Source organism: Homo sapiens, chromosome 3, assembly GCF_000001405.40.
Source record: "Homo sapiens chromosome 3, GRCh38.p14 Primary Assembly".
NCBI lineage: Eukaryota > Metazoa > Chordata > Mammalia > Primates > Hominidae > Homo > Homo sapiens.
The window spans coordinates 175,724,191-175,740,558 of record NC_000003.12 but is presented as its reverse complement, the minus strand read 5'-3'; the positions used below and the strand labels follow the sequence as shown (position 1 = coordinate 175,740,558).

At 37.2% G+C, this 16,368-nt stretch overlaps 1 protein-coding gene and 1 non-coding gene across 22 annotated transcripts in view; both read right to left on the bottom strand.

The window, feature by feature from the left end:
* The window catches only part of NAALADL2 (N-acetylated alpha-linked acidic dipeptidase like 2), a 1,369,567-nt gene that overhangs the window by 69,990 nt on the left and 1,283,209 nt on the right, over positions 1-16,368 (bottom strand). For all 21 annotated transcript variants that reach the window (XM_017006077.3, XM_047447876.1, XM_017006075.3 and 18 more), the window contains one exon: positions 3,160-3,253. In XM_017006077.3, coding sequence (XP_016861566.1) covers positions 3,160-3,253 — 94 coding nt within the window. The remainder of the gene's footprint in view (positions 1-3,159; positions 3,254-16,368) is intronic.
* Positions 1,183-1,288, bottom strand: LOC124906366 (small nucleolar RNA U13). Its single transcript, XR_007096333.1, has one exon. It is a non-coding gene; the product is annotated as a small nucleolar RNA U13 (small nucleolar RNA).

The window sequence follows — 16,368 nt, the reverse complement described above, 5'->3', positions numbered from 1 at the left end:
GAACACTCCCAAGTCTGGGTCTGTTGAGTAAACGTTATCAATCTGTTCCTTTAACCATAAACATCGAGAGACTAGGAATGCCTAACTTTCTGGGAATATGGCCTAGCAAGTCCCAGCCTCATTTTCCTAGCCCTCATTCAAGGTGGAGTCACTCTGGTTCAAATGACTCTGACACTGCCACACATCCCCAATTTATCACCTCCCATTTTCTTTCGGATGCCTTCTAATCCGGCTTTTGCTTATACTAATCTACTAAAATGATTTTGTTTGTTAAGATCACCAATGATTTCCACATTGCTAAATCCACTAGTCAATTCTCTGTTCTCCTTTTGTTTACCCATTACCAGCATTTGACACAGTTGATTACTTCCTCTTCTTTGAAATATATTATCCACTTGGCCTCTGGTTATAAGATTCGCTTGTTTTTCTATTATTTTTTGGCCACTCCTCCTTGGTCTCCTCCTATAATTGTACCTTTATCCCAGTTTCTAAAGGAAGGAGCGCCTGAGAAGTCTTAGACCTTTTCTGTCCTCTACATGTAATCCCCTAGTAATTTCATCTAGGATGAATCCGAAATTTACATTCTCAGGTCAGATCTCTCCTCCATACTCTGGATACAACTGCTATGTTCTGCTATGACATTTATTTTGGGAATGCAAATTTGTATCAAAGTAATTAATATTATGGCATTTAGTGATTGATATTAGTTTGAGCATAGTGCTATTTTCAGATTTGCTTTTATTTATGCTAATTTTGTTCCACTATGGGAATGTATGTAGGTATGTTTCTTAGGAGAAGGGATTTTAATTTTGGTTTATTTATCTAACTGCTGTTTGTTTTTGTTTTGTTTGTTTGTTTTGATAATGGAACTGTGCCAAGTATACCAGAGAGGCTCAATAAATATTTGTTAAATGAATGAAAAAGTGGATTCAGGAGATGTGAAGTCCATGGGGATTACATGCAAAAATTTTTGTATACATTTAACTTTCTGTGGAGAAAGATAATGATTTTCTTCAGATGTTGAAAGGGTTCTTAATCATCCACACCAACCAGATTAATAATCTAATTCTAGCAATAACCCAATAGGTCATTTTTTTGAGCATCAGTATTAGCCTATGTTAATTAAAATGTTTATATAGTGGTTATAATGTGGAAATATTGTGCCAATTTGTAGATTTCTTATGTCAGACAATTGAAATGTGCCAATGTGCTAACAAGGTTTGAAGGAGGTAAATCTCACACATTGGCCTGACAACCGAATCGTCACAAATATGAACCACAAAAGGATCATATATATGAATTTTGAAGAATAAACCCCATTGTTTAAAAAATTGATTTTAGCATGTAAAATGACAGTATTGCTAATACTTCTGGTCTCAGGAAAGCAACCTATCATTTATAATTCTATTATATAATGTTAGCATTTTGCAGTATACTCTTTGGGGCTTCTTTTCATGCATGATAGTTATTGCTTTTAGATGAACAAGTATTGTGAGGTTGTTAAACTCCTTTTGTTCTCTGAAAGTTTAAAGTTTTATATGGAATACCAATAGAATTTTCTGAAGTATAAAATATAAAAACTAAAGAAACAGCAAAACAGTTTACAGAATAAATAAAATTACTGTTTAAAAAAATATTTGCAAAAATGATATTTATTATTCACAAAACTATTTAGACCTTTATTTATACCTTCTTTGTTCTTATTTTGCAAAGTGCCATATGTTTGGTTGCCCAGAGTGACTGCTACAGTAGACACACTGACAACAGTAAGATGAAAGCCTAATGTAGGTAGGAAAGAAGGAAACTATATAGAGACTAACTTAAATATATAAAAAGGAGAGCAATATGAGGCTATTTGTATGGTAACAAATAGCTGTAAGTGGCTCAAACTGTTCACAAGGTCATGGTTTTACAGTCACTATAATAAAATCATAAGAAGTATTGAGGGGGAAAAATGGAGTAATCTCTAATCCAGGGAGTAAGAAACAATCCAGGTAAAGAAAAAAAAAGGGGGCCAGGTGCGGTGGCTCATGCCTGTAATTCCAGCACTTCGGGAGGCCGAGGCAGGCAGATTGCCTGAGCTCAGTAATTTGCGACCAGCCTGGACAACACGGTGAAACCCCATCTCTACTGAAATACAAATATTAGCCGGGTGTGGTGGCATGTGCCTGTAGTTCCAGCTAGTTGGGAGGCTGAGGCAGGAGAATTACTTGAACCTGGGAGGTGGAGGTTGCAGTGAGCTGAGATCGCACCACTGCACTCCAGCCTGGGCAATAGACAGTGAGATTCCATCTCAAAAAAAAAGAAAAAAAAAATTAAATTTTCAGCTATTGGAGATATCTGGCTTTTTAGAATGATCCATTTTCAAAGGATTACTGTTTCAGCTCTACAGTTAAAATATTGACTTTTTTATTGAGAAGTAGTTGTCCACAAATGACTCATTAAAGATCTGTTAGGAAGATGTGTGACTCAAAGAGGAGGAGGGTGAAATCTTTAATCACAATACTGCCCTTTGTATTTGGTTAATGAAGACAAATTAGGAGCCTAATTGAAAGATTTGTATGTAGATGAAGGGGAAATGAAGGTAATTATTAGGGTGGGGTCAGAATTCTGCTGAGAGAGATATATTCAAACATGAAGGAATTGAAATAGAGACTCAGAAATAATTGCCTGGTTTCTTCTTTATCATCTTTGATCTAAAGTCTGAGCCAATAACTCAGTCAAATGGAATGGGGCCCATACCACACAGAAACCAACCCCAAAAGAGAAACTTCTGGGCCAATCTTGTTTGAACTGATTGGCTGTTAGAATGTTAAAAAAAAAAAAAAAAAAAAAAAAAAAAAACTGGATCATTGAACTGTATTATTCTACATGAAACCTGTAAATAATAACAGAAACTTAGAATTATAAATCTCTTTGATAAAATAGATGGGCCATCCTTCAAAATCTGATATTCTCCATTATGCTTACACATCCGTGCATCTCATTTTTGTTGAATGAAAACTAAAATTCTTCCAGGTCCTTCCCAGGATCAGCCTCTCCAGGAAGCACAGCATTGCCATGGCTAGTAAGATCATTGATGACTTCATCCATTCCTTGTTGAAAATTAGTTGAACAATTTTTCATTGGTAAAATTACTATAATTCAAAGGAAAATTACCTTTAAGGTTGTTTTGAACTTCTAAAGCTATATCAAGTGCATTAAAGGGCAGAACAGGTTCGTTGGCAATTTGCAAAATCACTTCTCCTGAGAGCTGAAAGAAAAAAGGAAAAAGAAAATACTAGCATTCAGTAATTAGGAGTTTTCATTTGTTTGTTTTTCATTATTTCAGATATTTTTATACATCTAGAGCAGCAAAAACACACAGGAATAATATAGTTTTATAAAATCTCTTTTTCTTTTAAATCTTTATTTAATTTTATCTTTCTATAAAGAAAAAGACCTCAGTATCTTTTTCACGTCTCAGAATAGTATAAGGAAATATATTATTCCTTTTGTGAGCTGAAATATTAAGAAATGCCTTCCCTAATTGAAAGAGTTGTACTATTTAGACTTTAAATAATTCCTTACAGTTCGTAGTATCACATGACCAAACAAACAGTAAAGAGGAACACCTGAAAATCAATGCCTGGTTATTGGACTAAGGAAAACTTCAGACAAAATTAATGATCAATTTATTTTATTTGATAACCTACAGGCCACATTTGGCAGTTTACTTTGAAAGTAAACAGTCTTCCAAGTTAACTTGTCTTGTGATTTATGGTAACATCCTGTCACTGAGTAAAGAATTTTTTCTGAGTTCCCCAAATTACATACTGACGAATACATAACCTAATGACATTGAAAAGGATGCTGATTTGTCTTTGAATCGTGAAGTTTGGCTGATTTGTTTCAGAATCAGGAAGTTTTGCCAATTGTCTTGCATGTAGACATTTTAACCTGTATGTTGATATCTGTAGCCAGTGATTATAACCTCTGTGTTATACCCTCCAGTAAAAAGAACAACTCTGATATGAGGAGTCTTCCTCCCTTCTTCTAAGCTTCCTTAGGAAAGCCTCCCAACCTGTAACAGACTCTTTGTTTGGTGTGTCTTCACGGGTAGATCTTCACATTTGGCTTCCAATAAACCTCCTTCAAAATCTTAGATACGATTTTTCTTCATGCTTTTATTCTATTCCTAATTGCTTTTTAATTTTTATAATTTTCTAGAATCAAAACTAATAGTATTAATACATCTGTGAGATCAATGCTTAAAATAAATAAATACAAATTTTAAAAGGCATCCCCAAAGCTCATATCTGCAATCTTCGTACATACATAATTCCCCCATGACCCCACCCCAAAACTGTCAGAATATTAACACATGCACTACAGCTGAACTAGCATCTGCTTAATAGGCTGAACAAGTCATATGCATTCATACACATCTCAAAGGACCTTAGGGCTGGCAGCAAATGCCATTGTTATCTCTCTCTCTCTCATAAGTGATATTTAAATATTTACCTGGGCTTAACGAATGTCCCTACATATCTTATAACCCTGAAGGCAGCACACAGGGAAATGCGACTGTGTTATTATTAATGCAGTGTGAAATGTGGTTAGTGAATGAAAAACATTGTCTTGTGAAACTACACAGGGGAAATTAGCACACTAACTTGAGACAGAATGCATAAAAGATATAATTTACTAGGAAATTATGATGTTATATATCCAAATATATATATTCAACAAGGTGCAAATTCCATTTAATATTTGATACGGTTTGGCTCTGTGTCCCCACCCAAATTTCATCTTGTAGCTCCCATAATTCCCATGTGTTATGGGAGGGACCTGGTAATAGATGACTGAATCATGGGGGCATGTCTTTCCCATGCTGTTCTCATGATAGTGAATGTGTCTCACAAGATCTGATGGTGTTAAAAATGGGAGTTTCCCTGCTCTCTTTTTTCCTGCCACCATCCATGAAAGATGTGACTTGCTCCTCCTTGTATTCTGCAATGATGGTGAGGCTTCCCCAGCCATGTGAAACTGTGAGTTTTCCATTAAACCTCTTTCCTTTGTAAATTGCCCAGTCTTGGATATGTCTTTATCAGCAGCAGACTGATACAATAAATTGGTACCAGGAGTGGGGCACTGCTGAAAAGATACCTGAAAATGTGGAAGCAACTTTGGAACTGGGAAATAGGGAGACATTGGAACAGTTTGGAGGGCTCAGAAAAAGACAGGGAAATGTGGGAAAGTTTGCAACTCCATAGAGATTTGTTGAATGACTTTGACCAAAATGCTGACAATTATAGAGAAAATGAAATACAGGGTGAGGTGGTCTCAGATAAAGATAAGGAACTTGTTGGGAACTGGAGCAAAGGTGACTCTTGTTATGTTTCAGCAAAGAGATTGGTGGCATTTTGCCCATCCTAGAGATTTGTCGAACTTTGAACTTGAGAGAGATGATTTAAGGTATCTGGTAGAAGAAATTTCTAAGTAGCAGAGCATTCAAGAGATGACTTGGGTGCTGATAAAGGCATTCAGTTTTAAAAGGGAAACAGAGCATAAAAATTTGGAAAATTTGCAGCCTGACAATGTGATAGAAAAGAAAATCTCATTCTCTATGGAGAAATTCAAGCCAGCTGGAGAAATTTGCCTAAGTAAAAAAGGAGCCAAATGCTAAATCATCAAGACAATGGGGAAAATGTCTCTAGGGCATGTCAGAGACCTTTGCGGCAGCCCCTCCCATCACAAGCCTGGAGGTTTGGGAGGAAAAAATAGTTTCATGGGCCAGGCCCAGGGTCCCTCTGCTGTGTGCAGTCTTGGGACTTGGTGCCCTGAGTCCCAGCTGCTCCAGCCTTGACTAAAATGGGCCAAGGAACAACACAGGCTGCTGCTTCAGAGGGTGGAAGCCCCAAGTCTTGGTAGCTTCCACATGGTATTGATCCTGTGGGTACACAGAAGCCAAGAATTGTGGTTTGGAACCTCTGCCTAGATTTCTTTTTTTTTCTTTTTTTGAAACGGAGTCTCGCTCTGTTGCCCAGGGTGGAGCACAGTGGCACAATCTTGGCTCACTGCAAGCTCCGCCTCCCGAGTTCACACCATTCTCCTGCCTCACCCTCCCAAGTAGCTGGGACTACAGGCGCCCACCACCACGCCCAGCTAATTTTGTTTTGTATTTTTAGTAGAGATGGGGTTTCACCATGTTAGTCAGGATGGTCTTGATCTCCTGACCTCATGATCCTTCCGCTTTGGCCTCCCAAAGTGCTGGGATTACAGGTGTGAGCCACCGCGCCCAGCCCACCTCTGCCTAGATTTCATAAGGTGTATGGAAACGCCTGAATGCCCAAGCAAATATTTGTTGCAGGGGCGAGGCCATCATGGAGAACCTCTGCAAAAAAGAAATGTGGGGTCAGAGCCCCCACAGAGAGTCCCTACTGGGGCACCACGTAGTGGAGCTGTGAGAAGAGGGCCACGCCACCGTCCTCAGACCCCAGAATGGTAGATCCACCAACAGCTTGCACTGCATACCTGAAAAAGCCACAGATGCTCAACACCAGCCGGTAAAAGCAGCCAGGAGGGGGGCTATACCCTGCAAAGCCACATGGGCAGAGCTGCCCAAGGCCATGGGAACCCACCTCTTGCATCAGCATAACCTGGATGTGAGACATGGAGTCAAAGGAGATCATTTTAGAGCTTTAAGATTTGACTGCCCTGCTGGATTTTGGACTTGCATGGAGCCTGTAGCCCCTGTATTTTGGTCAATTTCTCCCATTTGTAATGGCTGTATTTACCCAATACCTGAGACCTCATTGTATCTAAGAAGTAACTAACTTTCTTTTGATTTTACAGGCTCATAGGTGGAAAGGACTTGCCTTGTCTCAGATGAGACTTTGGACTGTGGACTTTTGAGTTAATGCTGAAATGAGTTGAGATTTTGGGGAACTGTTGGGAAGGCATGTTTGGTTTTGAAATGTAAAGATATGAGATTTGGGAGGGGCCAGGGGTGCAATGATATGGTTTGGCTCTGTGTCCCCACCCAAATCTCATCTTGTAGCTCCCATAATTCCACATGTTGTGGGAAGGACCCAGTAGGAGATGATTGAATCATGGGAGCGGGTCTTTCCCATGCTATTCTTGTGATAGTGAATGGGTCTCATGAGATCTGATGGTTTTAAAAACAGGAGTTCCCCTATACAAGCTCTTTTCCTGCCACCAACCACGTAAGATGTAACTTGCTCCACCTTGCCTTCCAACATGATTATGAGGCTTCCCCAGCCACATGGAACTGTGAGTTCTCCATTAAACCTCTTTCCTTCGTAAATTGCCTTGTCTTCGGTATGTCTTTATCAGCAGTGTGAAAACGAACTAATACAACATTAAAAGTTATATTTCCCAATTGTTTGCACAATTCAAGTCGTAAAAAATATAATTCAATTTGATCTTCTTCTATCTGCTTGGGAAAATGTGTTTATTAGAAATAAAGAGAAGAAAGAACCCCTTTTTTATTTTTAAGTTCTGGGGTACATGTGCAGGATATGCAGGTTTGTTACATAGGTAAATGTAGATGATGGTGGTTTGTTGCACTTACCAACCCATCACCTAGGTATTAAGCCCTGCGTGCATTAGCTATTTTTTCCTAATGCTCTCCCCTCCCACCACCCTACCCCCCGACAGACCCCAGCGTGTGTTGTTCCCCTCCCATGTACATGTGTTCTCATTGAAAAACCATTTTTGATAACTTTTTATTCCTTTGAGGTAGTTTTCTCCCAAATTTACCAACCAATTCCTAACGTATCTTTGCAGAGTCTTATCCCCAATGTTGGGGTGCTGAAAAAGTATCCTGCAAAATAAGACTTTGACATACTGAGCTAAAGAAAGAGCCTCAAGGTCTCCCTGCCCTTGCTTACCCCGCACCCTCCCAACACTTCTGTGTTTCTCAAAGCACACGATGAGGATGTTCTCGGAAGTTCTCTTATCCATCTAAAAACTGTGAACCTCCAAAGAGGAACATAATTACCTTTAATCCTCTCTTGGAAATCTCATTGTTTGTCAGTGAGGGATACAACTACACCTAGATGGACTTTTCCAAACAGATAGTGTCGCCTCTAAGGATGATTCAAATACTAAAGAGAATCATTTACAAATTAATTTTGTCTCCCAGGTCCATTTATTATGCCTAATAATAATTTACTATTCATGAGAAGAATGGTCTAAATTCCCCATCTCTCTCTGCTTTACAGAAAAGGGTACATAAATATGTTTCTATAGTCCATTGAGTTATTGCGTAATCCTATGCATCCCCCCCATCATGCACATGAAATAAATAACTATGCATTTTTCTCCTATTAGCCTGCCTGTTGTCAGTTCATTTTCAGCAAACCTTCAGAGAGTGGAGGGGAAGCTTTCCCTTTGCCCCTACACCAGCAGAGTGATCACAAAAATCCTGGGAAACTGCCTACTCTGATTACGCTGTACTTCAGGAAATGAATTGTGTGCAATAGATTGACATAAATTATCCTTCAATTCCACCTCACTTCATCCAAATCATACAAGAAACACCAAAATATAAAAATAAATTATTTATAAAAAGGATTTTTAAAAGAAATTAAGAAGGATTCTGATTGATTTTTTTTCCAGTTTGCACTGTATAATAGAGACTACAGAAAAGACATGTTTTGTTTACAGTTAGAATCTGGATACCACACATTACAAAAGATTAAAAAAGAAAAAGGAGGAGGGAGAAAGGCGACTTCTCTGAGTGCTGCTGGAGAAAGCTGTTTTGTTTGTTTTTTAAGAGTGGCTTGGCACCTTGAACACTGGAATATAAGCCAACTACCTTCTGGCAACAAAGATTGAGACTTCAGAAACACCTGGCCCACAACGGAATGGTTAGACTAAATCAGCTTTCTTTGCAGCTTCGTAAGCAAGAGGAAGATTTGTATACTCCTTGTCATGCAGCACAGAGATGAGCCACACTGCATATTCTTACCCACTCTGAAACTCAGTCTTCCTCAGGCACACCAGAACAACTTTCCTTTACATTCATATGAGGCCTCATTCTTTTCAAAGTACTTTATACCTGTATATCTCATTTCATTATCCTGACAACCCTAAGAGACAGGTAGATGGGGAATTAATATTCTATGTCAAAAACACTGAGAATCAGCTTCACTGAGAACAGTTAACAGTAATGGCAAAGCTAAAATATCAATAACCAAATTTCCTGGAGCACCTACTAGGTATCAGAGCTGTATGGAAGTTTTCAAACATCATTCTCTCTAATTCTCACAACAGCTCAGCAAGGCAGGTACCATGTTCATATAAAAAAAAGAAACTGAGGCTCTCAGAGATTAGTTAACTTGCTCAAGTCACCTACCCAAGTGTCATTGATTTGAAGGCCTGTGCTACTTTTTTTGCTATAACACGAGGTTTAAGTCAGAATCTAGAAAAAAATCTCTCAGTTGGTTATCTGTGGAAAACTAAAGCTAGACTCTAAATTCTTTACTTCTTGCCAACTGTTCTTTCCACTCTACTACTGTGTTTCCTGGTGAAGAAAAAAATACAAAAACCTATGTTTCTTGTAATACTACCAGCCAATACCTGTAATATCTTATTTCCAATCCTGAACATCTATGATATTTGCATACCTGTGGCACATAGCATAAGTAAATAACTATTCACCATCTGTAAAATTACAATGCAATGACTTTACAAGCACACATGTACCTCAAGACCCTGGTGTCTTTCCTTTTCCATTATTCTCTGACCATACTAGCCCTGAGCAGAAGATAAAGGAAGAATAAATTAGAAATAAGAAAAACTGTAAAGAACTAAAAATATTTTAAAAATATAAAAGGATCATTGTGTTGAAAACTGAGTTAATAATCACCACATTGCAAAGGCTTTCCTCTCTTACTAAATAATATTGATGTTCCTAGAGTTAGTGGTCTCACTAGTGTTAGGCAAGATCAGATTGTCAAAAGATAAAAACTATACATAGAAACTTATTCTAGAATGTTAAGAATATAAATATCACCCTATGAGGCAACAAGGCAACAGATTATTTACAGAGTTAAGGAAAAAGTGTACGCACACACACACGTGTGTGTGTGCGTGTGTATGTGTGTATATATATATATATATATATATATATATATATATATATATATATATATCTGTATTAAGTTTTCTGAAAATACTCTTTTGCACCTTTAAATACAACTAAAATTACTACAGGCCAAAGAAAGATAAACTTTTATATGGGATAACTGTAATTCTTTGACTTCATCACAAATCTTCCTCTTACTTACCAGACCAATGTAGAAAGAAAAAGATTATTTACTAAACTGTCAATATCTAAAGAGTAGGGTACATTTTCTCCCCTTAATTATTGTAGCTCATTACCCAGTATGGTGACTGTATTTGCAATAAATGCTTTTAACGAATTTGTCATATATTGAGTGGACAATGCAGTAAAACATATATAGGTTCACTAAAATAATACCATTGCCCTGGGTCTATAATGTAATTTCTCTTTAGCCACAAGCATGGTTGAGCATTGTGTGGTTTTCTATATTTTTATATACCCAGATTAAAGTAACCATAGTTTATACCTTTCATTTAAGCTGTAAGTTAAACTATTATCATGGGATTTTTTTAAATGTCCTCAGTTAAATTTAAAACGCAATAGAGCCCTACTATGAAAGTTGATGCTGTAAGATAAGCATAACACCTGTTTTACATGTTACCATGGGAAAAAAAAACTGGGATGTCACTGTGGCATGTGAAAAAAAAAAAAAAAACCTTCAGCTGAATTAAATTTAAAGGAGTTTAATTGTGCAATGAGTGATTTGCGAATCTGGCAGCCCTCAAAATCACAACAGATTCGGAGACTGTAGGGATGACTCATGGTCAGAACAAATTTATAGACAAAGCAAAGGGAAGTGATGTATAGAAATTGGAAGTGAGGTACAGAAACAGCTGGATTGGTTACCGATTGGTGTTTGCTTTATTTGAACACAGTTTGAACACTCAGCAATGTATGAGTGGTTGAAGTATGGCTTCTGGGATTGACAAAGACTCAGCTATTGTTACAGGCACATACTCTTAGGTTGTGAATCTGGTCTACCTATTAGTTAGGTTACAGTTCATCCACAAGGACTCAAATATAGAAGTACAGAGTCCTTCTCAGGCCATTGTTAATTCACTTTAACACATGCTATAAGACACCATGACAAATAGTAGATGAATCATGAACCGTCCTAACTAGTAGCTATTGATCCTTTATTGTGTGATCATTACCATGCTATGGGGGAGAGAAAAGAGCTAAAATGTCATAAAAGATAGGTGCTCTCCTTAGAACTTACTTTCCTGTTAGAGATAAGTCCATTCCACTTTTACACAATTGGAAAAAGAAGTTAAAAATTAAGTTAAAAAAGAAGTTAAAATTAGTAAATATGAATCTTTTATTTCTTAGAAAGCACCATTTTCTATTCCACTCTAAACAAACCACATAACGACACCATACACATATATTTGGGGAGCAGGAACCTAGATGACTGTAAAATGAGAAAGGTATTCTAGACCAAGGGAATAAAATGAGCAGCAATCTGGGGTAGAAAAAAGCCAACATTTCTTTTTACTTTTAGAGTAAAACAAGATTTTTTAGAGAAACAAGAAACCGGTGTGACTGAAACAGAATTCTCAGTTACTGGGAAGTAAGCTTGTGTGTGGAGTGTGGGGCATAGGGTCAGAAAACCCTAAAACTCATCCAAGCCATATGGCCATGATTCAGTGATCTGCAGGGAGTCTGCTCCACTCCTTTTAACTTTCAGAGCAGAGGCATAACCTGATAAATCATAGCCTGGCAAGAGTCTTTACAACAGGATTTTGTGGTACATAGTGTCCTTCAGGCTGTTATGTTCATCCTGAAGTGACATGTCTCTGATTTATGTCACTTTATACTAGAAATTCCCCAATTTAACAACAAATATCCTGTGGATAACAAACTTTAGGGCAGCCAGCCATGGGCAAGAAGAGTGGAGGGAGTTTCCTGAAGATGAACAGAATGAGAAGCAGCTGCCAGTCCTCACGACCCCTTTCCAAAGCTGCAGTATCCATAGAGGAGAGGGATCAAAGATGTATTCCTGACATACCCAAGTTATTTCCCCCCAAAATTAGAAATTAAATGGTGTAATGCACAATTAGTGCACAAAATACATGTATCCATAATGTGACTAAAATATAGCCTTAAGACTGTCACTGTCTTTCATTTGGAATACTCCACAAACTCCCTAATTGTTTTAAATATCTGCCTCCAACACATTCTCCACATTATCATCCGAGCTGTGCAGTTACTTGTTTGGGATATGTTTCTTGTATATTCGAAAAAACAGACCTGTTTGTCTCACTTCCTTTCCATTGCTCCCCTTGACCTATAGCAAGATTTATGATATCTAATATTCAACTATAATTTGACAAGTTTATATATATAAAAAAATTACTTGAAAGTAAAAGTGTCTTAGTAAAGCGAGAACTTATACAACCTCCACAACTATCAAAAAGGAAGCTTCAGATACAACTCACATCACAGAAACTAGCAAGGAAAATTTTAAATGCCACACCTGTTCCCTCAGCCCCAACAAGAGCCACCATGACAGCCCCAAGAGAGTTTCATGTATAAGCAGAAACATCCCAACACCTGAATAATGCTCCTCTTCTTGCCAATGGATGACTTGAGGGTTTCTTCTGCAGAAAAATTTTGGTGGAATGCTTAGGAGGCCTTGCCAAAGGCCTTGCTTCCACTGCTTACATTTGTGAAGGCCAATAGTTGGAGGAGAAAGAGATAGGAAAATTGTCATGGAATCTCTAACCTTTTAGGAATGAAATGGTTCAAGATCTCACTTTTCCTTCTTAAGTTTTCAAAGACATTAGAATGATTTTGAAGGACTGAGGTAGTCTCAAATGAAGACTACCTTAGGTGGTAGGTTATCTTTTAGCAAAGGATTTCCAAAGTCATTGAAGAATTCCAATAGCCTCTGATAGGGCAATTTGCTTCAAGGAGAAGGGTTGTAATCCCAGGAAACATTTGGAATATATAGTTCCCCAAACACATGGCCATTTTTTAGGAGCTCCTGTGACTTATCCTGTTTGGTCCAGGGGCCTACCAAAAAGAAACTACGTGTGAACATAAAGACCTGTGTTAGCAAACAGTGTTAAACTTGAAAACAGCATTTTGGATAGTGGAATGGCCATAGCTCTGAATACCTCCGGAGGAAAGAGTTCTTTTCTCTCAGCGTGCTGAGAAACTGCTGTTTCAGTCACCACCATGCCTCCAACAGTTGCCAAGAGCTGAATGAGGTTACTGAGACACTGGGTTTGCAGCCTGGAGCATGCCTTCCCTGCACCGAGTTGCAGAATTTCTGGAGCCGACAGATCATGCAAAGGCTCTCGGGACCACTTGGACATGATGAAAAATCGATGGGATGTGAAGCAAAGAAAGAAGACATAAACAAGGCATGTCTCCACTGAAATTTAATTTGATTATGAAAGAGTTGGGCTCTTAACTTAGCCCTGAACTGCTAACAGTATAGTTTTTTGCAAGTATGTACTAACACCTCCCAACACCAGGGCATTGAAGAAGAGGGCATTGAAGAAGAAGGCAACTCATGATGTCAAGAAACCAATGGCTGGGAATATAAACTCCCTGATTCAAATCCTCCTTTCCAGCTTCTGCTTCTGCTGAAAGCCCCATTTCCTCTCTAGTTTCTCGGCCTAAACTCTGATCACACCATCTCCAGTTTACCAGGAATCCTAGTTTGGGTACTCCCTCAAAACAACAAACTTGAGATGAAATCTGATCACACATAGTTCATTGAGAGGTGAGGGTAGTAGGATGGGAAGGAGAGACAAGGAAGACAAGACCGCCAATAGAAAGCACATTATCAAGTCAGCTACCACTGTAGCTGACACACAGTAGTGTACCACAGCTACCACTGTGGATGACTGAAGCTTAACCTTGCTGGAGAAAACCTTAGAGCTAGTATAAAATAGGTACCTCAGGATCTTCCCATTCGAGGGGCAAGGGAGCAGTGTATTGATTCACTAGCTACCAATTGGGCATTGCTCCATGGAGGTGTTACATTTTAATCTCTGAACTATCCTGTTCACTGGCAGCTTTCCAGGGCTGAAGAAAGCCTCAGGCAAAGATAAAGTTTAGGATTTGCAAATCTATTACTAAAATAAAATGCTTACTTTCTATTCCCATGCCACAGAAAAGTAACTCATGTAATTTTTTTTTTTTTTTTTTGGTCAAATGTAAGATAGCTCTCCTCTTTTGGTGACTGTCATCACCTATCTGTTATTAAATTTTAGTTGAGAAAATATATTTACAGATTAATTCGGAAATAATAAATTAGCTTTTTGGCATTTTTAATGACTATTTTTCAGTGATATAGTCATGTTTTGACTTTGTAATATATTTGTGTTTTCTGCTAGTCATATTGTTTCTAGAGAGGGACCACAGTATGTTAATATTTCTTAGTGTTCTAGAAAATGAAACTTCAAGATACTAACTTTACATTTTTACTATGTTTAGTAGTAATCTGCATGTGCTGATTGACAAATTAAGAATCTTCATTATATTTCACTAATAACTATCTTTAACATGATATCAATAATAATAACAGCAGCTAACATTTGTTGCACTCTTGCCATATGCCAGGCATTATTCTAAATTCTTTATATAAATTAATTCATTGAATCCTTACAATAGCCTTATTCTATTTTGCATGAGAAAATAGAAGCATTGCTCAGTTAATTAAATTTCCCAAGGTCCACGTAGCTAGTACATGGCAATTTTGAGATTTGAGCCCAAGCATTCTGGCTGCAGATCTGGACTCTTAATTGTTACCCTAATTAGCACCTTTGAAATTTTTTTCCAAGCCCTTTTCTAATTTTAGCAAATAGGGAATACCAGTGGCCAATATTTACCAAATGTGAACATAACGATTCTAAGGAATAATCAAGGGCTGATTACACCTATTTAAAATAAAGCCCTGAGCAAGTGATCCTACCAGGATTATAACTTTTGATACATTCCAATGCTAATTCTCATGTCTGTAGATCCTGCTTTCCTGAGCCTAAAAAGGGAAGTAGAGATTTATGAAGTAAAACAATTCTCTAAGATACCCTAGAGTAGTTGCAAAAACTATCATGGCTGTGGTGTGACAAAGGAGGTAGTGGCTGTGTATTTTTAAAAGATTAATTTTATGTTTATTAAATGATGTACTTTGTAAATTATCCAAATCAATTAGTCATAGAAAGATTAAAGAACTGATTTAGCAGAATTTGTAATAATGCTAAAGAAACATATAACAAGCATACATAATGCACCAAGACAGAAGAAGCCTTTCATAAAGAGCTAGAAAGAGAAAATTCTCTTAGAAATTGTATTTTCAGGTCATAATGCTGAGTATCTGTACATGTGAAATATTGTGGTTTTAGTTTTCTCTTTAGGAATTTAATAAAACAGTGCTTTAGTAAGGACAAAGATGTTATTTCCTTCTAATATCCAACCATTAAACAAAGAACATCTTGGTAATAAATGAAAGCAATCACATTAATAGATCAATATTATTTTGATATAAATTAATATAATTATTTCCTTTTATATGTGCCAGTTGAAAAAACAACCAAAAATAAACCTCTGTTTTATTATAGATTTGGATATCTGGTATAATTCTGTTTTTTAAAAAATATTATCTTGGAATATTGTTTCATTTTTTCAAAAAATATGAACATTAAAAAATAATGACATCATGTTTCTATCTTATAGAGACAATGAAGGCACTAGAGAGAGGTAGAGATATGGGAATGGAAAAAATAAATAGATTGTTCTTTTGAACTTGCTGCTTCTACCTAGTGAGATTTTAAATGATGGTCAAAATATAAGTGACCCTTACTGTATGCAATTACATTGTTAATGCAGTTTCTTTCTTGGCTCTAAATGCAATACATGTTATTGCAGATTGCATCCTACAAAGTGAGACTTGACATTTTAAAAATAGAAAAAATACCACAAGTGCTTTAGATCCTTTGATGTGTGATTCTATTCATGACAAGGTTCTTACAGTAACTTTCTTTGAACTAGATGCTATTGTTCAGTTGAATCTAAAAATACATGTATGTAAATAAGAAGCTGCACCAACAGAGCACACTGTCAAGCTCTAGAAATTCCAAGATTTATTTTTGTCTTTACATGTTGCTTAGTGATAAACAGGACTCTTATATTAATAGTTCCTTGCTTCTCCAATATCCCAGGATGTCCTATATGACATAGCCCAACAATTCAAGAATTTTAGTATCTTTATAGTTGACCAG